General features: G+C 32.0%; 1 protein-coding gene across 3 annotated transcripts in view; it reads left to right on the top strand.

Moving 5' to 3' along the window:
- Positions 1 to 3,788: 3,788 nt before the first annotated feature.
- Positions 3,789 to 24,351, top strand: part of MGAT4C (MGAT4 family member C) — an 883,334-nt gene continuing 862,771 nt past the window's right edge. For all 3 annotated transcript variants that reach the window (NM_013244.5, NM_001351286.2, NM_001351285.2), the window contains exon 1: positions 3,789 to 4,123. The gene's annotated coding sequence lies outside the window, so the exon portion shown is untranslated. The remainder of the gene's footprint in view (positions 4,124 to 24,351) is intronic.

Raw genomic sequence — 24,351 nt, 5'->3', positions numbered from 1 at the left:
TTAATGTTTTAAATGAGGAAGTGTGACATCTCCAACTTTGAATTTGTTTTCCAAGATTGTTTCAGCTATTTGAGATCCCTTAAGAATCTGTATGGATTTTTTTTTTATATTTCTGCAGAAAACACCAGTGGTATTTTGATAGTGGTGCATTGAATCTGTGGATTGCTTTGTTTAGTACTAACATCTTAACAACATTAAGTTTTGGAATCCATGTACGTGGGTTATCTTTCCATGTACTGTGTCTTTTTAAAATTATTTCGGTAATGTTTTATAGCTTTCAGCATACAAGTCTTTCAACTCCTTGATTAAGTATATTCTTATATTTAATGTAAGTCTATACTCCTCTTCATGCAATGCTTTCAGTTTACAAAGATGTTCTACATAAACTACCTTTATTAAAACTGTCGTAAATATTTCGTATCTTCTAGACTTACATCAATTTTATTTATGAGCAGGATGCCATGTCGATGTTTGTCTTATTATTCCTTAATTTGGCAACGTTGCAATTCCTCCTCATGTAGTCAAGTCAGTCTCCCCAATAATTTTTAAAGACAATGTTATTAAAAATAAAGAAATGTATACATGATGAAGTGATTTTGTTACAAAGCAAGCCAAATTTTTGTACTGCTACAGCTACTATAAAATCACCCCAAGAGTAAATAATTTTCTAAAATTATATATAATGAATAAATAAGTAAATTTTATTTATTATTGCTATTTAAATTGAGTGATAAAATTAATTGTGTTGTACTATTAAGACTTTCAATATTTTAGTTGAAACTGCAATTTGAAAAAGTATTTTACAAAAGAACTTGCAGAGATCTGTGAGTTTAGTAATAACAGAACATAAATATATTTTAATATATATATGTATATTATATGTAGACCTATACCACAACTACACAATGAAAATGAAATGCAATCCCTTTTTACAACTTAGGTCTTGCATGAAGTTAATTGAAGATAATATGAAATGGGAATGTACATTAATTGACGAAATATTTGAAGTGTTTTTCTAAAAGTTAGTAAGATAGTTTTATGATCTTTTGGGGAAAAAATAGTACATAGTTGGAGTAAAGAAAGAAGGAAGCAGAATGAAAACAACATTCTATAAATTTATGGTAAAATTTAATAATGTGGCTTACTAGTTTTCTTATGAAGTATCAATTTAAAAAGTTATACAGTCAGATCTTGCAGATCATTTTAAGGATTGGGAACATTAATTTCCAGGTGATAATGAGTAAATAAACTGTTGTGAGCAAGAGCATGATTATGCATATTTTAGAGAGAGAACTGGCAGCTATGTTAGAATTGATGGAGAAAATGACTCAAAATAGAAAGATGAAATAAAAGATTCTGGCCATCATATAAGTAAGAGATGATGAAAGCTAGAAATAATGAGAGAAATAGTATAACTACTAGGCATCTGGCTTGGCTAACTAGGTATGTGGTGATGCTTTTTAACTGGAGCATGGCATAAAAATTGATCTTTCTAAAATTCTCTATTTAAGAGCTCTCAGTGATTTCCAATTCAAAGATAAAGCCCAATCTCATTAAGAAAGTATAAAAGACTCATTTTCTCCCCAGACTCTTCTCTTTCCATGTCCTTCATACCTCACTCTGCAACCAAGCCATACTGAGCTGCTTTCACTTATGCAAATGTAATACGTATATTTCCCTTGGGATTTTGTTCCCACTGCCTAGAAATATTTCTCATCCTTTTAACTAAGGCTTACTTGGTCTATTTTAAAAAGTTACTTCCTACAAAAACAATTTTTTATGCTCCAAGAATAGTTTACCTATCACTCTAATGTAATTGCATGTGGTCCTGAATTCACCAATGGGTAATCATCATTGCAATATAGTGTTAGTAAAATTGGTAGATTCTAGGTGGAGATAGACATCTGAGACATCAAAAAAAAAAAAAAAAACTCATTACTGCTGTAGTTACTTATTATGTTAATTGAGGTACTCAATGCACATTAGTGCAATGCAGTTAGATATTCAGTCAACTGTCAATTATTAAATAGACTTTTATCTTTTTACATTTTTGTTTTTAATATCATAGGCGCTGAACACCATGGACATTTTAGAAATAGCATTTGAGGCCAATAAATAGTTTTGCTTGCTTGCTTCCTTTCTTTCTTTAATGGTCTTTTAAAATATGCTGGATAATTTTAGTTTCCAACTGAAATACTGAAGCTGCTTCTTTCCAATCTCCTTGTGTTTATTCAGAAATAGCTACAGTGATGCTACTTCTCAAGAGGTAGAAGGATTGGAGGCATCTTGCTGTGGCGTTTCGTTTTGTTTCTCCATTTTCTTTTCCTCTGTACCTCCTTGAGTGAAGTGGTCAGCTACAGTTATAGGGTGGGTAGAGAAAAAAGGGAAATTCTTGTTTACTTTTTTGTTGACTGTCAGGTGATTATATTGTTTTTGTTTCTCTCACAGTGTGGAAACCCCATTTTTGTCATGGAAGCAACAATTTGCTTAAATGTCAAATAGACATAGAGCATTACAGATCATCATGTTGAAAGCTATGGCAAGCATGAGATTGTTTTTATAGCCAGCAGGGATTTTTTAATGTACATATTCTCATGGACTATGATGCTTTTAAGTGTGCTTTTTGATTATGTGAAAATCGTTTTGTGTAACAAATACAAGTGAAGAAGTAGAATAAAACATTTTGATAAACTTTCAGTGTTTGTGTATTGCCAATACATCTATTACAGTGTATTTGTGTTATATCTCAAATCCAGAATATTATGAAAATGCTAAAAGAATTTTCTAACTTAGAGAAAAAACTGTCATATCGGCCGGGCGCGGTGGCTCACGCCTGTAATCCCAGCACTTTGGGAGGCTGAGGCGGGCGGATCACGAGGTCAGGAGATCGAGACCATCCTGGCTAACACGGTGAAACCCCGTCTCTACTAAAATACAAAAAATTAGCCGGGCGTGGTAGCGGGCGCCTGTAGTCCCAGCTACTCGGGAGGCTGAGGCAGGAGAATGGCGTGTACCCGGGAGGCGGAGCTTGCAGTGAGCCGAGATCGCGCCACTGCACTCCAGCCTGGGCGACAGAGCGAGACTCCGTCTCAAAAAAAAAAAAAAAAAAAAAAAAGAAAAGAAAAAACTGTCATATCACAACATGTCACTGAAATGAAATCAACAGAACTCAAAATGGCTCATTTTTATTTAGAAGAGAAATGATTTATGAACCTTAGTTTTATTTGGAACATCATATTTTCTTGAAGAGGATATTCAAAGAGTTAATATTCACTTCTGTGGTCACATATTATGATTAGAAATTCCTCTTTTCTATTTCTATATAACTTCTGCATTTTGACTGACATCTAAAAATGATAACTCTTCTCTGTGAATCTGCATTAAAATAAGTGATTGGTAATAAAAATGCAAGAATTCATATTGAGGTACTGCAACTTAAAATCTTCTGCATAATATAAAATACAATAAACTGTCTTTTGGACCCAAAGAGAAAATTTCCTATACATAGATGATTAATAAACTGAAAAAAAAGAGATATGATTTAATTTGTAAAGAGAAAACTTCAAATATTTCTGTCAGATAGAACTGTATATAGCCTGATAGTGTGGATTCTAGACTAGTTTGAAAGAAAGCAATAGTGAAAATGAATTTCATGCCAGCAGACACTTTAAAAACTAGATTTAGTAGCAGTCACATTAGCTTAGATAATGGGAGAATTTTTCTTCATTGAAAATGCTCTCTGTCGCTTAAGAAGAACTTACTGAGGCAGCCTGCCATCTAGCTTTTTCACAGAAAAACAGGCTTGCAGACTGCAGATGAGAGAGTCTGGAGCAGAGACAATTTTAACTTAGCCATTCCTAATTTATCTCAAGCGTTTTCAATTCATCTTCACTGCTCTATGCACACAGGAACACCAGATTGCCATCCCTGGGGAACAGAATGCAACCCGGGATCTAGAGAGCTGTCACATTCCAAGAAATATTTAAATTGTGCTGATTTTCTTCTGGAGAACTGAGCCCAGGGAATGAAACTCTCCATCAAGTCATGGCTTTGCGGGCAATAGATCAGAGGATATTGCCAGTTTTCTAATGGATTATTGTTATCGGGCAGGTTTTCTCTGAAGGTACGTAGTTATTTTCTCAATTCATTACCCTCTCTTCTTTATCAGGTAATAGTCTAATGAGCTAGGGATCCAAACCTGTAAAAAGAGAAAGATGTTAAGTAGTCTGTATGGACTGAAGAATGACACTTTATTGCTGCATGTTTATAGGTGAAATAATCTGCTCCCTTTACTGAAGATTAGTAGAATATAGTTTGAATTGCATTGTCAGCAAAAACAGAAAAAATCACAACAAAACCGTGCTGCAGGCTGCATTATCATAAGTTCATATTAATTCTCTTGAGGATTTTCCTTTTGTAGCTGCAATATATAATGAAGAAAAATATGTACTTTGGAAACTCACTTACCCATATGTATTTTTGAATCTTTTAAAACAATCATAGTATTTTATTTATATTTTCCAAAATACAAACTTTGTCTCAAATGCTTGTATTTATTTTGGTATCATGGATGCGTATGATACATAAATATTTGAATGATGAAAGTATTTAATTTAAAGAAACTTCAGTATAAGTCTTTTTGATAATATTATGTAGATATAATTGTTTGCCTTACAGATATCTATTTTTGAGTTTGAAAGGATTTTACTAAAATTGATTGCTACAGTTTCAGTTAATTATGCTACAAAATTATTATTTAACTTTGTTCTGTTAGTGAAAACCTCAATGCCTTTCATAGAAGTACAAGAAATGTTTAGCAAAGCAAAATGCTAAAAACTGAAAAACTTCTGAATATCAACAGAACCGATAAAATGGGAGAAAGCCTTATTCGAAACTGAAATTTATCCCATTATACTTATGATATCTTAGAACAGCAAAGGTGACTTCCGTGTCTGTTTCTGAAAAGTTAAAGGTGTGTGTGTGTATGTTCTGTATCAGAGAGAGAATGGGAGTGTAGAATAGAAAAGAAGCATATAGTAATCACAGTGATCTTATAAACATGTAGTATTAGGGCTCTTGAGCTTTTTTTAATGTTTTATTATTGTGTGAATAGGCTCAATGAAATCTATCATATTGTTGCTGTTTTTCTGTGTTAAAAATGACTATAAAAATGGTTAGAATAGCAGGTATATTTGACCTGGAGCATGGTGTATATTTGACCTGGAGCATGGTGTACCTGCTGCTGTATGGACTGGAACACAGAGTTTGTGTTCCCTTCAGTGGGTTAATACAGGCTCAAGAGAGGAAGTGGTGGCTAAGCTTCACAAGAGCACTTGTTAAGTGTATTCTAATTTCTTTGGAGCATTTGAAAGACTATTAGAACAAAGGAAAGAGGGAAGGATTGAGTCACCCAAATCGTAACTTTAAGTGCATTTTCTCTTTTCCTCACAGGGATTGTAAAAGGCAAAAAAATGGAAAAGAGAAAAGAGTATAAAGTCCTCAAAGAGACTTTTAAGTACTTCTTTTTTCATGAACTTTACAGGAATTGAGGAACAGGGCCTTAAATTAAAATTTCCCTACGGATTCCTCCATTTGGCAAGCTTTCTCTCCTTTGTGGAACCTTTTCCCTCCACTCACTTTAAAGCATTAAAAAAGTGAGATTGCTCCCAGTCTGGTTTCTCCCCCAATAACTCACAGCTCTAATTTAAACCTACAGAAGTGCACTCTCTGAAACTACATACACTCCTGAATGTCTTAGAGTTTTACAATTCGATGGCTTATGACTTTCAGAGGATACAGTGATTTAACATCCTCTCTCTCTCTTTTCTATTTTTAAAAATTACAACTGACTCTTCCGAAAATCTCAAACAATGTGCTAAAGGAGGCACAAGTAGGAAAAAAAGAAAGCATTTCAGGGAACATATTTCATGTTCTTCCAAAATCATACCAATGATGATACCAATGGATAATGAAATAGTCACTTCATGTTTGGGTATGGAGGAGCTAGAATAGAAGTTTAGCAATATATTCTTTAATTTGCCTTTTGAATGTTAGATGAATATAACATATATGAAAATCAGGAGGGGCAGCTCCAATTGTCAAAGTGCAATAAAAATTTTATATATCTGACCTCTTATTAACATTCTCTACCACAATCATGTTAGTGTCTCTTGCCTCCCCATAGGATTCATTCACCTACCCAGCCATTGAAATCTGCTCAACTTCCAGGTTTAGTACTAAAACTTACTTTGCCTCATCTTATGGTGAGTTCATTACAAAATATATTACCATAATTTCATTTTATTAGTTGTCGTTAAATAACATTTACTGAGTGCCCATGATATGTTTGTTGCTTCCAAGCAACATGTAGGACAAAAAAAAATGTAATGGTATTCTCTCCTAAATCAGCCAGTTTATTAATATTTCAGGACCTCTAATTGGTACACACAGAGGGAGGAAATGAAGCCTGACTCTTTAGTTGCTGCTTATGTGCATTATAGGTATGAAACATCCTATATTCAGTCAATGACTTGAATTTATCTTTACAGAGGATTCCAGACTGTTCATCAAGTTGTTTTCAAATTCTCCTTTAACTATATTTCACATGTCAAAGTGTTATAGTAGACAGAAAATAGGATTGGTGATAAGACAAACTAAGTTTAAATCCGTTAAGCTAGTTTGTTTAATTGATCTCTATACACCTCTGTCTCATTATATGTATAATGGCACTAGTGGTATCTACATTTTAGATTCTTGTTGGGAGTGGGATCACATGAATTAAATAATAAATACGTAGTTTGTGCACCGCATATGCTCAATAAATGGTACATATTTTTGCATATATTTTCTCACATATTTTCCCATAAGGATGTTCTAGTTGAAATTAATTTGACTCTTTAATGATGTTTGTGTGTGTGTTTGTGTGTGTGTGTGGAGGGGGGTTTTGGCTGTGTAAATGTATATTATCACATGTCTATTTTGCAGTTTCAGTAATAAAAATAATGCATTGAGCATGTGAGTACTGTTTGCAATTAAAGAACCTGTGGATACTTACGCATAGATAAAATTGAAAAGTGACTAGTTTGGGAAATCACTTGGCATATTCTATACGGTTATCTAATAGCTAAATTATCAACCATAATTTGCCAGAGAAAGCAGAGAGAACTATTCCTCATTTCCCACTTTTACATTTTCCCAAAGGATATGGAAATAGAAGACAAGACAATAAATCCTCTTGCTCATTATACCGTGCCCTTTGCCCTTTTCATTTGCATTTTATTTTGCTACGTGGATTATCTAGTGATATGGCCTTAAATTCTAACTGCACAGAGTAGTTCAAGCGTACCAATCCATCCCTCAAGGAACAAAGCAAATATATGAAGACCTTTATTAAAATAAAAGACAGCTTCTGCTTTGAAAAAATGCTAAACATTTTTTAATGAGAGTAAAACTGTCAAATGTGAATGTTAAATTCAGCCAGATGTTGACCTTAACTGTGAATTTAAATCTTTACAAAAATAGTATCTATGCTAGAAACTGTTTTTATTGGGTCTCAAGACTACTGAAAAATTCTACATCTGAATTCCTCAGATGCATCTCATATTAAGTTTAAAATATACAGAAAAACTCCTTAAGATTCTGAGTTATATGGGGAAATAAATTCAACATAACACATGTCTGTCTTTACTTTTTGTATTGATATTTGGAAACACATTGATATTTGGAAAATTTTGGAAACAAAATTTTGTACGTTTCCAAATATTAACACAAAAAGTAAAGGCAGACATGTGTTATATTGAATTTATCTGTGTACAAAAGGGAGCCACCAACTAATTGTTTTGAAGGTGCTTTACAGGAAAGTATCTAGCATATTCTAGCTAGGTCAAAATGTGGACACAAAAGCAAGTACTTGCTGATGAACCATTTGAGTTTGTTTTTGTTTTCTTTAGAGACAGTGTCTGTTGACAGTGCCAACCCAGTCTTAAACCTACAACCCGCCTACACACCAATGAGGAGACATGTTAGGCATCTGACTTCATTTATAAAAAGATTATTGAAGTTCTTGTATTATTTTTGGATATTTTGACCCAATGCTTAAGGAGATTAAAGCCTATGTTATAATTTCAGCTGTGTTTCCTAATCTGTAAAGGGGTGTGTGTGTGTGTGTGTGTGTGTGGTGGTTGGGGGAAGTAGACAGTAGGTAATCATCATATTCATTTGGTGATATGGATCAAATGACAAAATGTCACAAAATACTATTATATGGCCTTGTAAAGCAGTAAAAAATATTAATGGTTATTGTTGTTTCTGTCATAACATCACCACATCCAGGTCCACCCCGATGTTGAGTTTGCTGTTATTTACTTTGATTTTCAGACTTCCTTTGTGGTCACAGATTTGTGCTCACCTACTTTCTTCTTCTGTCCATGGCTAACTCCAGGCAAATATTTCCATAATATTAAACCCTGCCCCTTTGACCCAAAGTTAGAATTAAATGGTTTGGCTTGGCCACTAATTCCCTGAGGCATTTTTCCCTCAGCAAATTATCTATCTACCTATCTATAGATGGACCTATATCTATATCTATATCTATATCTATATCTATATCTATATCTATCTATCTCTATCTATAGATAGATCTGTAAGTATATAGACAGATAGAGATAGATATATTTAAATTTTAAGATTTGGAAGCAACCTAGGTATCCATCGTTGAATGAATGGATAAAGAAAATCTGGTATATATACACAATGAAATACTATTCAGCATTAAAAAAGAAAGAAATTTGGTCATTTATGACAATATGGGTGAACCTGGAGGACATTATGCTAAGTAAAATAAGCCAAACAAATTGGTAATGGGAAAGCAAATCTCTAAATTGAGTGATTCTCTCAATTTATATATAATGTCAGACAAATAGTAAAGGAGGCACTAGGAAACTACTGGTTCCCTTGTCAGGTGTACCCTTCTCAGGCTTCCAGAACACAGGCTGCTAACTACTTTTTGTAAAAACAAACAAAACAAACAAACAAAAAAACAGACAGAAAATGTGGTTTGAATTGCGTCTCCCTAAATTTCATATATTGAAGACTTAACCTCCAATATCTCAGAATGTGACTATATTTGTAGATGGGTTCATTAATGAGGGAATTAAATTGAAATGGAGTCATTAGAGTAGGCCCTCATCCAATAGGACTGGTATCCTAAGAAGAGGGAATTTGGACACAGACTTACACAGAGGAAAGACTGTGTGAAGACACAGGGAGAAGACGGACATCTACAAGCCAAGAAGTGAGGCCTCAGAAGCATACAACCCTGCTGACACCTTCATTTCAGACTTGCAACCTTTCAATTGTAAGAAAATAAACTTCTGTTATTTAAGCCACCCAGTCTGTAGTACATTGTTATGGCCGTCCTAGCAAAGTAATACAATAAATGTTTTGACTTTGTAGGCCACATAAGATTCTGTTGCATATTATTCTGTGTTCTCTTTCTCCTCCCTCTCTTTCACTGTTAAAAATTTAAAAATTATTCTTAGGCCAAATTTGGCCAAGGAACATAATTTATCCTCTCCTAGGATATCCAAGGACTTTCAAAGCCTTTCAAAGTTTGATCAAATTTCCTACTTTGGTAAGGTGTTTCCTAAATTTTCTAAACTTCCGTTTTATGGCACAAGATAGTCTAATATACAAATGTCAGCAGTTATTTTTAGCCTAAAAAATGTAACTAGACCAATTTCTTCTACCAATGTACATCCGACAATCTCAATTTGATGTAAATGTCTACCTCAATATTTTAAGTTCACTGTTAATGGACACTTAAAAGCTTCAGTGTTAAAACGATATATGAAAAAAAATCATAACATTTTTATGTTGAATACATTCTGTGGAGTAAAGACTATTACTAAACATGTGTTTTCTCATGTCCATTCTACTAGCAACCTTCCAGAGTACTTGCTATTATGATCATTTTACTAATGTGGAAATCAAGAAAGATGAAGCAACTGTCCATGATTACGTAGCATAAGTAGATTACGTGGTTAGCTAAGGTTTGGGTCAGAATCTTTGTCCCACAATATCACATTTAATCACCATACTATAATGGCTCTCAAACCATGGCACGGTTTTATATTTACTATGAGAAAAGCTATAAAAATGTAGAAAAATATCTATTACATAGCACTGTAAGTGAAAAAGAGGAGAGATAATATGGTGCTTATTTTAATCTTATTTACAGGTTTAGGTAAATCGCAGGTATGATGCTACTCTAGTTAATTATGTGATTTCTGTTTGTCTTTTCTCATAGAGTATGTGACTTATCTTTTTAGGACTTTTTTTCTTCAAAATATTTTGCTGAATGAGTATGGATAAATACGTCAGACTTATAGAAAATCTAAAGAACAAAATGGTATAATTTGAAAGTTACAAAAATTTTGTGCTTAATTTTGCAAGTAAATAAGTCCATGCTTAGTTTAATAATTCATATTATGTAGAGAAATAATGAATAAGCCAAACTGACAAATAGTTATAAATATTCTAATACACAGGGAGTAGACTTGAATGGTTTTGTGGCGGGACATGCTTGAGGGAAATCTTTGCCAGGTGGTAATTCTGCTTTGTTTCGAAGAAGTATATGATGTTGTGTAAATTCCTGGGTTTTCCTTTTTAAGTTCAGTGATGCATCTGATGTGCCTACAGTATTTTTTGTAGAACTGAGTTATATTTTATTGCCAAATTTGAATTTGTTAGAACATCCTTGAAAAGTAGGCCAGCACCCCCATGCAATGTTAAGTACAGTTGATCTACTTCATAAATTATTCTTCTATCACCTCATTTTCACAACAGAATCTTTGTGATATTGTCAGATTCCCATATACAATACAAGAAATATAATCATCATAAAGAGAAAGGTTGTCAATCACCTGCCCAAGTCAAGCAATGTAAATAAACAGGCTTAATAATTCCAGGTTTTAATTATAATATCTATCATGCAAGTAAAATATATGCTTGTGCCTATGTAGAACCTTAATACAACATTGTTATTATTTAGAAAATTCTTTTATTAGGCCCTATCATCTTAGTCTTTAGTAGACTCCTGGACACAGGAGAACAATACCAAAGCAAAATTTCTTTAGCTATTTTTATTTGGACACCTGGATAACTACGTACATTACATTGCATTGAAATTATTTTTATTTAATATGTCTTTAGATTTACTATCTCTAGAAAGATTTTATGTTCATATGAGTAGGGATGTAAATGTGTATATGTGAGAGTGTTTATATACACATTGGTGTCATGTGTGTTTGTATTTTTTCCAAGCCTTACTCGCAGGAGATTGAAAAGCAGATTTTTAGTCTACAGGAAGAATATTGAGAAGCATCTTCTTATCCCATCACAAATAGACCCTGAAGTGTATAGGATTTGTAACATTAAACACCCCTGTGGTTCATCTCGTAGCTCTCTGACACCCTCCCTCTACATAGTATTGTTCCTCCCAGAATGATTCGAGCTTCAGAAAATGATCTACCAGGGATTTTTCTTTCTTCTTTTCGATTATCATTGTGGGTTCAAGGTTGGGAATATTCAAGGAAAATGGATATCTTTATGAGAATAGGTAGAATTTACATGTAGAAATGAAGATTAACATGGCAAATTATTGAAAAAAGGTATACTCTTCATGGGTTTCCAATGGGGGTCGGCAGGGGGTGGGCTGGATCTTGAAAATCAAGTTGGAAAAGGAGAAATGCCCATAAAATAACTTTCTGAGCATTTGAGTTATTATATGTTCTCCTTTGACCTTGAGATCAGTTGTATTTAGCATTTGTTTCATGTCTTGTTTTTATTTTAAAACTCCTTCTAGTTATCTTTAAACCTTTAGTAAATGCCCACATAGGCCATGAGGTAGAGGTTCTTTGGAAATGTAGAGTGGGGCTACAATTGCACATAAAACCTTCACAGCTCCTCTTTAGGAGGAGGGTAACTAGAAAGCAGAGGCCTGAGGTGTAGATATCCACGTCTACCTGTGACAAGTTTGTTTGTTTGTTTGTTTGTTTGTTTGTTTGTTTGTTTCATTAGGAGCCATCTTGTAATATAGAGGCAGAATGCAATAGAGCATGGTCTTAAATAGGCTAAGAGAAGCTGACTTTCGAAAAACATGAGTAATCTCTAGGTCCTACCATTATGTAGATTGGACCTATAGAGTTGGCAGTTGCTTGGGAGATAGATACACACACAAACAATACTATACACACTCATCTCTTAAGAAACAATAATGATTTTTAAAGATAGTATTCACTAAATCTACATTAAAGGAAAAATCTTCACATATGTACACATAGAGTCATGGATAGACAGACACTTAAACAGATAAATACATACTTAGAGACCAATACATACAGCCTTACAGGTACCGAAACAGAGACAGGCTGATAAACACATGTGGTGACAGAATAACAGATAGAAATTAAAAATGGGATAGGAATAGTCAGACCCCATGACAGGGGCAGGCAAACTGAAAGACAGTGTGAAACATACCACAGAGAGAGATGGATGGATAGACAGGTAGAAAAGCACAAACGGGCATACAGGGGCAGAAAGAGATGGATGGACTGACAAGAGGGACAGTGAGACTCAGGCTCAAGCTCAAACATGGGCAGGCAGTTCCAGTCATTAATAGGCAACCCAACATAGATATAGACATGGACATATGTGTATATACTTGCATTGTTCTTACACAGGAATTTTACCCTATATGTTCATGAGGTAAAATTCAGTAACAAACCATTTTCTTTTGTTTATTAAGGATACTTCTAAAATATATCCAGCAATGCATTTTTTATTATATAAATGTAAAAAAAACATCGATATGTATGTAAACATGCCTTGTAATTTCCCTTCATTTTATCTAGTACTGCTGTCTTTGGGTAAGAAAAACAAATAAAATAGTCAAGTTATTGTGAGGTTGCTGTTGAAATGTTACCTTAAGGTCTTTTCAAGCTCTGTAATGTAAGAGACAAGTCAGAAAAGAAAATGATCAATTTTCTTTCTCCAGTATAAGTAACAACAATTATAAAAGAAACAAAAGAACAAAACACTTATGCCTCCAAAACATTATTAATGTCAAAACCATTATTGCAGTTCTTAGTCTTTTTGCTATAGGTCACTGAAATCATTTCTAAGTTATGAATACACTTGATTTTTTTTGTTTGAAATAAGATGAGGAAAACAAAAAATATAGAATACTCCTAAGATTGTATGAAATTTTAAAGCTTGAATGAATATATATTGGACCTTAAATTTTGTAGAAAGTTTTAAGTATTGCATTATATTTAGCTTTAGATTTACTTGAAATAGTTACTCAGTCTTCCAAATGTTTTACAGTTATAAGAATATTTATAGGATGACAAAGCCTAATGGTTGTTTAGGAGCTACTTTTAGAGGCTTGGAAGGATGTATAGACTATATAATTAAATGCATATGTTAAATAATATTATTAGAAAATATGTTGCAGGTAGTAACTACATGGTATTTGTAACTATCCTTTCTTTTCAATGATATGTGAACATAATCAGCCAGTATAAAACAATTTCTCATATTATTTTAAATCTACTATTGTGTATTATATATGATACTTGAAATTAAGGCAAACTAAGAATGGGGATTTGTGTTTTGCTATGAAATTACTCTTCGGTGAGGCAACAAACAAAGTTTTCCATTTTTTATTAATATCTGAAAAGTATAAATGTGTATATAATGCACCTTCCTTTAAATAGCTGTGTTGAGGTATAATTTATATACCATAGAATTCTTTAAGCATATAAGTCAACAACTTTTGGCAAATTTATATTGTGTACAACTATCACCGCAATCCAGGTTTAGAATATTTTCATCATCCCAGAAAGAATCCACGTGTCCACTTATAGTCCTCTCATTTGTCACCCAAGGCAACCACTAGTCTCCTTTTTTTCTCTCTATCTTTGCTTTTTTGGACGTTTCACATAAATAGAATCATGCAATATGTAGTCTTCTGTGTCTTGCTTCTTTTGCTTAGCATAATGTTTTTAGGATCATCATACTGTAGCATCATTTCTTTGCCCAATAGCATCCCATTCTTTGTACATACCAAATTTTCTTCATCCATTAACTAGTTCATGTACATATGGTTTGTTTTGGGGGTTACTTTTTGTGATTGTGCACTCTCAAAGAGTGAAGATGGTACTCATTTTCCTAGAATCTCTATTCACATTATGAATGTGTGTTTCAAAACCAACTAATGTTCAAATTAATTTACTCTGTCGGTATTTATAAAAGTCATTTTTAAAAGCTAAGAATACAGCACACAAAACAAATTTTTAAAAGTTTGTTATGAAAGTATATTAAGGTTATGCATAATGTTATACTCTAGCCTGATAAGATTAGATTACTTATTTTAGATATAAATTACCTTACTTGTTTAACATATCTCGGAGTAAAAATATAAATGATAAACATATAATATAGTTAAAATTATTTATTATTTTCCTTGTTTCCTGTTTTACATGAAAAAGTTATTTTCTCTTAAAAATGTGATGTTTTCTGATTGAATAAACTATTATAGACAAAAATCTACAAATAATTAGCTTTACCATAATATTTTATTCATAACAGATTTTACATTTTAAATGCATTTGATTCTATTTCTAAAAATTTTCTACATTTAATTTTTCCTACTACCATTAATTACTAAGTGAAAGCTCAAGTTAGTTTTCTAAGTTTTTATCTTTAGAGATTCCTAATCTAATGAAAAAAATGGGTATATATTTCCAAATCATGTAGACATCTGAGGCTAATTATAAGTTAGACTACTTATTGATAGGGTTTCTATCATGTTTTAAGTTACTGATTTCCCAGAAAGCATACGAACTTTTTTCAAGTTTATGCTTCATGATAATTTTTCCACTTATTTATTTACTTATGATTAATTAACATGGTATGATGCCTTTATACATATTTGACTTTGAAATTGTCAAGTTGTGTATAAAGCAAAACTTATTTGGCTTTTAAATGGCTTTTTTTCTGCCACATTTTTTGTCTGTATCAGACAATCAAACATATGATTTACTACAACACTTTCTTTCTATTTGTTTAAGTATGATAAATGCATGTCTTTCCAAGGCATTTTTCTTTCGTTGAACTCTTAAGTATACATTTCTCTAAGTGTCATTGTTTGCTTTTATTTTTCTATATTTGCTCTATCTGGACAGTTTCATTCATTGTCACATTTTCGACTCCATCTAAATCTACAAGTATACTCATGACTTTTTCCTTTTGATTCTGACCTGGTAGTTATTGTTCAATATCCAACAGATATTTTGTTTACAGAAAAATACTATTGAGAAAAACTCAGTAGGAAATATTCAGGAAAGTGTAAAGAAAAAATAGTGTCTACTTTGTTTGTTGAGAGAATACTAATATTTTTCCATTTTATAAGGTTTTTGACCATGTACATTTTTGCACCAGGAGCAAAAGGATTTTGCATTCTAATTAAATGCTCCATCTCCTATCTTTGTTCTCATGGATGCCATAAAATCAACATGGTCTCTCCCTGCTGCTAATATGGCCAGCCTTTACTTGGTTCAATTAAAATGATTTTAGATGGGGGATCTCATACTAAAGCAGTTTTACAGTAAATAGAAATAAATACCTTGTGTCTGAAATGTTTTTCTTGTGATCCTCTAAGTGATATCATTCAATTTTTCTGTGTGTCTATTAATATATGAATTGATTTTTCTAAAGAAAATTAAGTACCATGTTATTTCTGTTATGTTAGAAGTATAAGGGATTAGTAGCAGAGATGTCTAGAAAGCTTCTTTAATTGGCTTTACAATCATTCTTTTTGAACAAAAAAAATTTTATTTTTCTTTGTATTTTAGACAAATATACATAGACTAAAATTATAAAAGCACAAGTATAACATTATACTTGAGAATATTTGGTGGAACCTCCCCCCATTTCTTTTTTGTTTCAGTTTAACTAGATCGCTAATTCCTAGGAGGAGTAGAAGAGTGCTATAACATATTGGCCTAAGGAGAATCATATGCACTCAAGTACATGAACTCTCTCATTCCCAGTCATGCCTACCCCCAACGAACCATGATTTCTGTTGGATTTTTAAAATTATAACTGTTACATTCTTATGGATAAAAAATTCAATGAACTGTTTTGGGTAAAAAGACATTTGCTATCAGCTTTTGTTTTGCAAGGTGCATTTAAACAAAAATATTGTGATGGCATCATTGAAACATGGACATATCAATTAATACTTTGGGTATAATTTTTAAATTAACTTTAATAATGATTTAAATTACCATATTTGTAAAATGGGGTCAACACCTACACTAGACTTTTGAGAGTCCTCAATTGCAGCCAGTTTTTATAACCTAATCCTGCCCTGTCTCCTACCAGATCAGCATGAAATAAATGTGACCTCATGACATAAACTAAGCCCTGGAATCTGGAGTAGCATCATGAAAACTCTAATCAGTTTTATTTGGATGCCTATACTGGGGAGTCACATAACACAGGAAGTCGATAGCGATGAATGGCTTATGTGCAAATTAGGCAGGGCAAAACAGTTTAAAGAGAGCAATAGAGTAGAGGGAAGCTCAAGAAGGAGGTTGATGAGGTATCCCATAATTATGGAGCTGTAAGGTAGATGCAGTAATAATGTGAGGAGCTTGTTGGGTCCTGGATACACTCACTTTCTGCTGGATTCCTGGAGACATCTAGTACTCTGGTGTCACCCCAATTGATCTGAAGTAGGCTCTTAGCACTATTGCCAATCACAGTAACTGTCCTTATACTACAGTCTCTTTTGGAGAAAATTATTTTATTCTCTTTCCTTTTTAAATCTCCAAGACCCCTTATTTTCATGTGTTTCTTGTTTTAGTCAGAGGAGATATTTTTTATTTCACCTCCAAATATATAAATTTATGTTCACTTGCATCAGCCAAGGGGCACTGTAGTATCACACTGTTGTATGCTGGTAAAAAGCTTAGTTTCTAGAGCCAGTGATGATAAGTTTAAATCTAGCTCCATCATTTACTAGAACTATATATTTTATGTCTTTAAATATTCTGTCAATGACCTAGATAAGTAAAATTAAATATTCTTCATTAATGTGTTTCCATTTTTCCTTGTATTTCCTACAAATGTATCTGTGTATATCGAAGCTCTTATGTGATATATAGCCATTACTATTTTGTCTTCAATGTTATTGGTACCCATTAATGTTATAAAGATCTCTGATTTGTCTCAGTTAATAGTTTTGGCCTAAATATATACTTGTTTCTTATTGATACAGTAAACTCTGCTTCTTTATGTTTAAATTGTCTATATCTCTGCACATTAAAAAATTATATGAATCACTTTGCGTCAGGTTTATCTCGTATATAGCAAAGATTTAGGATGGTTTTGTAATATCTGAAAAGTTTTCTTTTTTAAAATTATCTTACTCACATTTATGGATTTGAGAAATGTTCATGAACTCCATCTTTTTTGGATATTGGTAATTATTAGAAAAGTCAGTATTCCACATACTTCCTGATTTCTTACCCTCTTTCCTCAAACCTTGGTGTTTATATCATTTCTATATTTAGGCATTAAGTACATACCTTCTATTTCTTCACCCGAAACCTCACATTAGTTTGAATCTTACATCTACAGATAAATGTATAAATTCCTTCCTACTCTAGCGGTTTTTCTAGTCATTTTTGATTGACTCGTGTTGACCTTTTCTACTTAGATCAGAAACAGTTCATGAAAATATTTCTTGTGTATTCAAAACCTTTTATTGCTTTTATTCTTAAAAGATTATTTAACTCAATATAAATTCTTTTGGTCATAATTCCTTCCCTTGAGCACTTTGAAGGTATTTTTCCATTTTAATCTAGCAGTAAAGGCTCTACAAAAGAATTCCAAGATTGGCTTTTTCCCCTCTTGTTAATTTCAATATAAAAAACTTGTATTTTTTCTTTTCTTCTCTCTCTCTCTCTTTTTTTTTTTTTTTTTTGGCCTGGCTGTCTAAAGCATTTTCTGAATAAGAATTCATGTTTGATATCAAGTAAACTTACTGAGATACCTTCAGTGTTGACAGTCTGGGACCATTTTTTTTCCTCTGGGACATGACACCATCTTTTCAAGATGCAGATTCAAGTCTTTTTTTGGATTACAGTAGTTCCATCTCATCTGCAGGGAATACTTTCCAAGACCCCCAGTAGATGCTTAAACTGCAGATAGCACTAAGCCCTATATACATGCCTTTTCCATCTTAACTATCATGTACTGTAGCCATAACTTTTGCAGTTTAAGAAAACTAGTACAAATTTATTTTTTTCCTTATTCACCATCTCCAAATAGAAGATTCATTCTTAACATAAATCTTAGCAACCTAAACATACAATTTATTTTTTTCTTATAAAGTAGATAACTTTGACATTTTCCCTTTAAAAATCACTTTACAGCTTCCTTTTGGCATAGCCAAATTACCAGCATCGCTACTCTTGTGCTTTGGGACTATTTTTAAACCAAGTGAGATTTACTTGAACACATGCACTGTAATATGCCAGGGTCAATCTGATAAGATTTGACTGCCACTGAGATGATCTGAGACAGCCACTCAGGGACTAATGGGCAGGTAGGCATAGGTACCTTGAACTAAGGGATGATTTATGCTCTGGGTAGGATGGTGCAGGACAGTGGAAGATTTCATCATGCTACTCAGAACAGTAGGTAATTTAAAACTTACACCTTGTTTATTTCTGGAACTTTCTATGTAATATGTTCAAACCGTGGTTGCAACTGAAAACCTGCATAAGGGAGGATTACTATATAAACTTTTTAAACCTATTAGTTTTGTTTTATTATTTCTGTTTTATTCCATGGGAATATACTTATACAAATGTTAGCTCTCCTTATCTATGTTTCACTTCTACTGTTTTCTGCATATCACTTACTAGCCTTTTTTAAAAAATGGATAAAATGTTTTCTTTCTTTCACCTGTATTTTATTTTCTGTGTTTCTTTTGACTATTTTTTGCTTCTCTTTTTTTATGTCTCATTTTCTCCTTAATCCCTTTTAACTCTCTTTAAAAATTGTCTTTTTTATTTTTTGCCCATTTTCTATCCTGGATATCTTTTTTTGATAGTTTTATGATTGTATTTTACTCTTTCCCTGAGCTTTGCCAGACAATGTGACAACTATCCTCATCGTTTTCTTATGTGTTCCTAGAGATGGTGAAATTCTGATTTGTGTTTATGCCCTGTAGACGTAATTATCTGTTAATTTTTTTTCCGTAAATTTAGATTTTTCTGTAAAAATTAACAGATAATTACATGAAATTCATGGAAATTATTTGGCAAATCTTTTTAAATCTAAGTATGTGCCAGTTTCCTTTATTTTTTCAAAAAGCCAAGACCCAATTTCATTAATTTTTTTCTACCTTTTGCGTTTCTATTTTACTTATTTCTGTTTGAATCTTTGTTATTTTCTTCCTTATGCTAACTTTGGGCTTTGTTTGTTCTTTTTTGTTCTTGTTCCTTGAAATGTGCAATTTGATTATCTAGTTGATCTATTTCCTTTTTTTAATGCAGGTATTTATCTCAATAAACTTTCTTGTAATACTTAGTTGGTGCATCTCATTAGTTTTACTGTGTTGTGTTTTTGTTTTTCTTGAAGCATTTTTCTAATTTCTTTTTTCTCTTACCCAGTGGTTGTTACAGTGTGTTGTTCAATTACTACCTATTTGGGAATTTCCAGTTTTCTTTCTAAAATTCTATTGTGATCAGAAAAGACTTGGTATAATTTCAGTCTTAATGAATTATTAAGACTTATTTTCTAACCTAACATAATTTGTCATGAAAAAAATTCTATGTGCACTGGTGAAGAATGTGTGTTCTGCTGCTCTTAGGTAGAATATTTAGTATATATCTGTTAGGTCCAGTTAGTTGATAGTGTTGTTCAAGTCATCTACTGATTTTTTGTGTGGTTACTACCCATTCCTGAGTGTGCGGTATTGAATTATTCCACTCTTATTGCATGACTCTGTTTATTGATGTTTGCTGAACATACTTAGGTGCTATGATGGTGGGTGCACATATATTTATAATTGTTATATTTTCCTGGCAACTCTTTTATCGTTATACACTGTCCTTTTTTGTATTTTGCTTCTGTTTTTGACTTGAAGTCTATTTTGTCTGATATAAGTATAGCTGTCCCTGCTTTCTTTTTGTTCCCATTTGCATGGAGTATCTTTTTTTCATCCACTTACCTTCAGCCTGCATGTGTCTAAAGAGAGATTTTTGTAGACAGCATTTAGATAGGTCTATTTTAAATATTCATTTGGTCACTCTGTATGTTTTGATTAGAGTTTAATTCATTTACATTCAAAATAACTTAGTAAGGGAAGATTTCCTACTGCCATTTTGTGATTTGTTTTGTTAGTCTTGCAGTCCTTTTGTTTCTTCCTTTTCCACTGTCTTCATGTGTGTTTTGTTGATTTGTTTTCAGTGATAAACTTTGATTCCTTCCTTTGACTTTTTTGTAACTTCTATAGGTATATGTATTTTTTTCTTTAATGTGTGTGGTGACCTTGGGGTCTACATCACATATGTTATAACATTATATTTTAAGCTGATAACAACTTAAATTCAATCACTATCACTTATAAAACTCTACACTTTAACACCCTCATAAACATTATATTATTGTTGTCATAATTTATACCTAGTCGTATTGTGTCTTTAAACATATTTCAGTTATCATTATTTTTAATACTTTTGTCTTTAACTTTTTTACTACAATTAAAATAATTTACCTACCACCGTTATAATAATATAGCTGTAGTGAGTAAGCAATGGCTAGATAAAGAATCACAAGCATGTGTCAGTTGTCTTTCTCATATTATCTCCAAACCAAAAAAGACAGTAATTTTAAACCTTTGTCAGGGTTTTATTGTAACTCTCCAAAAATTTTTGATTAGACACTACTAAACCTAAATGTCAAGTATCCAAACCGTGGCTGATATTTTTATTTTTTAACAACTGCAGCAAACAGACAGTTCTAACCTATAATGAAACCTCCCTGGTGCACTTGAAAAAGGCTTTAAGAAAGGATGATCAATGGGTACAAAAATACAATTAGATAGATGGAATAAGATATAGTGTTTGGTAGCACTATATGATAAGTATCATTAACAATAACTTACTGTATATTTCAAAATAACTAAAAGAGTGGAATTAAAATGTTCCTAACACAAAGAAATGATAACTGCTTCAGGTGATGGATATCCAATTACCCTGAGTTGATTATTACAAATTCTATGCTTGTATAATATCAAAATATTGCACATACTCCATAAGTATGCAAAATTATGCATCCATAAAAATTTAAAAAGATTAAACGTTGCTTAACTTTGTCCTCAATATTTTGTCTATTTTTTTCATTCACTTATCAGTGCAACCTATATACATTTATAAAGTACCTGGACAGGAACTTTTATAGTTGCTGCAGCTACATCACTGTGTAGAATACATTGCAAGGTCTCTAAGGGTTTATATTCTGTTAGGACATTTCTTACCTTCTAAAATTTCTCTGCATGTATTACATACACACTCATTCTTTAATGACTAAGCTAAATAAAAGTAATTTTCTTGAATGCCTTGTTTACACAAATTTTTAACTTCAGTTATGCTTTGCCAAAGAGATTACACACCTTAAATAAAGGCTTCCAGCATGGGCTAAGAATTGCTTTCTGTTTCTTATATACTAATACACTCCAACATGATTGAGGATATTCCACCATTGTATACTCTCATTAGTTTTACCTATTGCCCTAAATAGGGTGGAACTACATTTGACATGCTATGGATGCAAAATAGAGATACATGTAAGATAAGTATTTAAAAGTAGTAACCAAATAACTCCACTGTGACTTAATATTAGTTTTCAACATTATATATCTATTTCCTCAAATATATCCTTCACACTGAACTCAAAATCTAATCTTACTAAATTCAAGATATTGTATCTCTCTTTCATCTTCTTATAAACCAATCTGTAGTGGAACCTTTGAAAAATCTATGTATCACTTTATTATTAAATTCTTTAAAAAGTTAAAATTGAAATGACATATTAAAACTTTTATAAAATAGTTTCAAATAACTATTGATCATGATTATTAGGGCTATCCACATATACTGTGATTCTTCTTCTTACAGGCAAATTATTAGGTTGGAATTTACTACCACTTTAAGATAGAAAAGAATGCTAGATTTGTTTTAGCCCATGAAATTAAACTAAGTCTCATAAGTCAATCGAAAGTTAAAGGAATTGATTGATGGTGTCAAATTCCAACTTTTCTTTCCTTGTTGTAGAAATGTTATTTGTGTAGAAATGAAGTCTTTGTCATACTGAGTCACTGAAAAACCATTATAAATGGGGTCTTCCCACCAACCCATAGTGGACATATACAACAAGTAAGAAATAACCTTTGAAATATTGATCCAAATTTTGTGTTCTATGTTATAAAAGTAGAAAATTGCCCATTATAATAAAGGTAGAAAAAATACATATATTTATATTTGTTGAATTACAGACATTTCTTTTTATGATTTATACTTTATCTTAAATCTTGTTAGATGATGCTCAGATTAAAGGCATCTTTATTTTTTGTAATATTTGCTTTCCATATTGTAAACAAAAATAAAAAATAAAATATATTTCCTCAGAATTATCTATAGCAAATTATCCCATTATAGCCTAATCTTCACAACAAAGGATCATGCTTAAATAATGTTTTTTGTTTGTTTACTTTTTGAAGAATTTCTTCTTCATGGACAGCTTTACTTATTTGTTAAATACTCATTCTTATTAAGCATTACCCTCCATGTTTGGAACTAGACATTTTTGGTTTTTGTTAAATAACCTTTTAAAATCTAAGCCTTAATAGTGCAACTTTAATCATTATTATAATTATGATTTAGAGCAAACTGTTGAAGATATTCTAATTAACTCTAAGTTAGTCCTGCAAATTATTATACGAAAAAAGTTTTCTGTATTAAAATACATATAGGTATTGTTTACTACTGTACATTGTTTCAGAAATGTACATATTATTTGGCAAAATAAAAGTTTTAAACATTTTCCAATAAAGAAATAACTTTTATGCTTTTTATCTTAACTTTTCCCAAATGTATTTGACCACAGTACATATTTTTCATACACCACTTATTGACTGCCTCTGAAACTACTATTTTGCATTGGATAATTTAGGAAAAATCTATTATTACAAGTTTCTAGAGAAAGAATAAATTATGTACAATTTGCAGTATAGTTTTTTTCTTTTTTGCATTTGAATCCTTAGAAGACTGAAAATCTATGCAGCTGGCAAGAATTTGATTAAATATAGCAACCTATACTACACCACAGTTTAGAGAAAAAGGAAGATTCATATCATATATGAACCACTTACTAGCTGTGAGGGCTTAGACAAGTTATTTTAGCTTCAGTTTTTTATTTCTCATTTTAAGTAGTTGATGATGATGATACTTAAGAAACTGAGATATAATAATTGACTTCTTTCATGTAAATCTCTTATTTCAATGGCTGCCATGTGGAAAGTACTAAATAAAAATATGCAATTTCCTCATTTACTTAGAAAAGAGAAAATTACTGTAAATCTTACATTTTTGTTTTTCATAGTGGTTATACCATTTTGCATTTGCACCAGGAATGTGTGAGATTATATTCCCATCTCTGACTTTAAGATTTTTAAGTTGTCACCCTTCTAGTGGGTATATAGCTGAGATTTTAATTTGCATGCTGGTAGTCAGCATTTATTCATATGCTTATTTACCATTCATATAATTATTTTAGTGAAGTGGCTGTTTAAATATCTTGTCCATTCGTTAAGAATGTTGTTAGACTTCATGTTATTCTTATTATTGAGTTCTAAGAATTCATTACTGAAGTTCTTTATCATATGTGTTTCTGTTCTAGCACTTGAGATGACAAAGGAAATCCAATTGTCCTTGCTCTTAAAAAAGTACTATTGTCGTTTTTTCTTTAGAAGCTTCAAAATGTTTTATTTGAGTTTATTTTTTTCCCTGTTGAATGTATACATGTGGATTTATTCCACACGGGAGCCGTTGTGCTTCTTGAACTTGAATAGACAAGAATTCTATCAATTCTAGAATCACCTTAATTACCTATTTAAAGTCAGCTCTCTCCACTTTGTCTAATTCTGTATTGTTAGACATCTCACTACAGTTTCCATGCCTCTAACAATTCACTCTGATTTTCTATTACCTTATC

The sequence above is a fragment of the Homo sapiens genome, chromosome 12 (assembly GCF_000001405.40).
Source record: "Homo sapiens chromosome 12, GRCh38.p14 Primary Assembly".
Lineage (NCBI taxonomy): Eukaryota > Metazoa > Chordata > Mammalia > Primates > Hominidae > Homo > Homo sapiens.
This window is presented reverse-complemented; position numbering and strand designations above follow the sequence as displayed.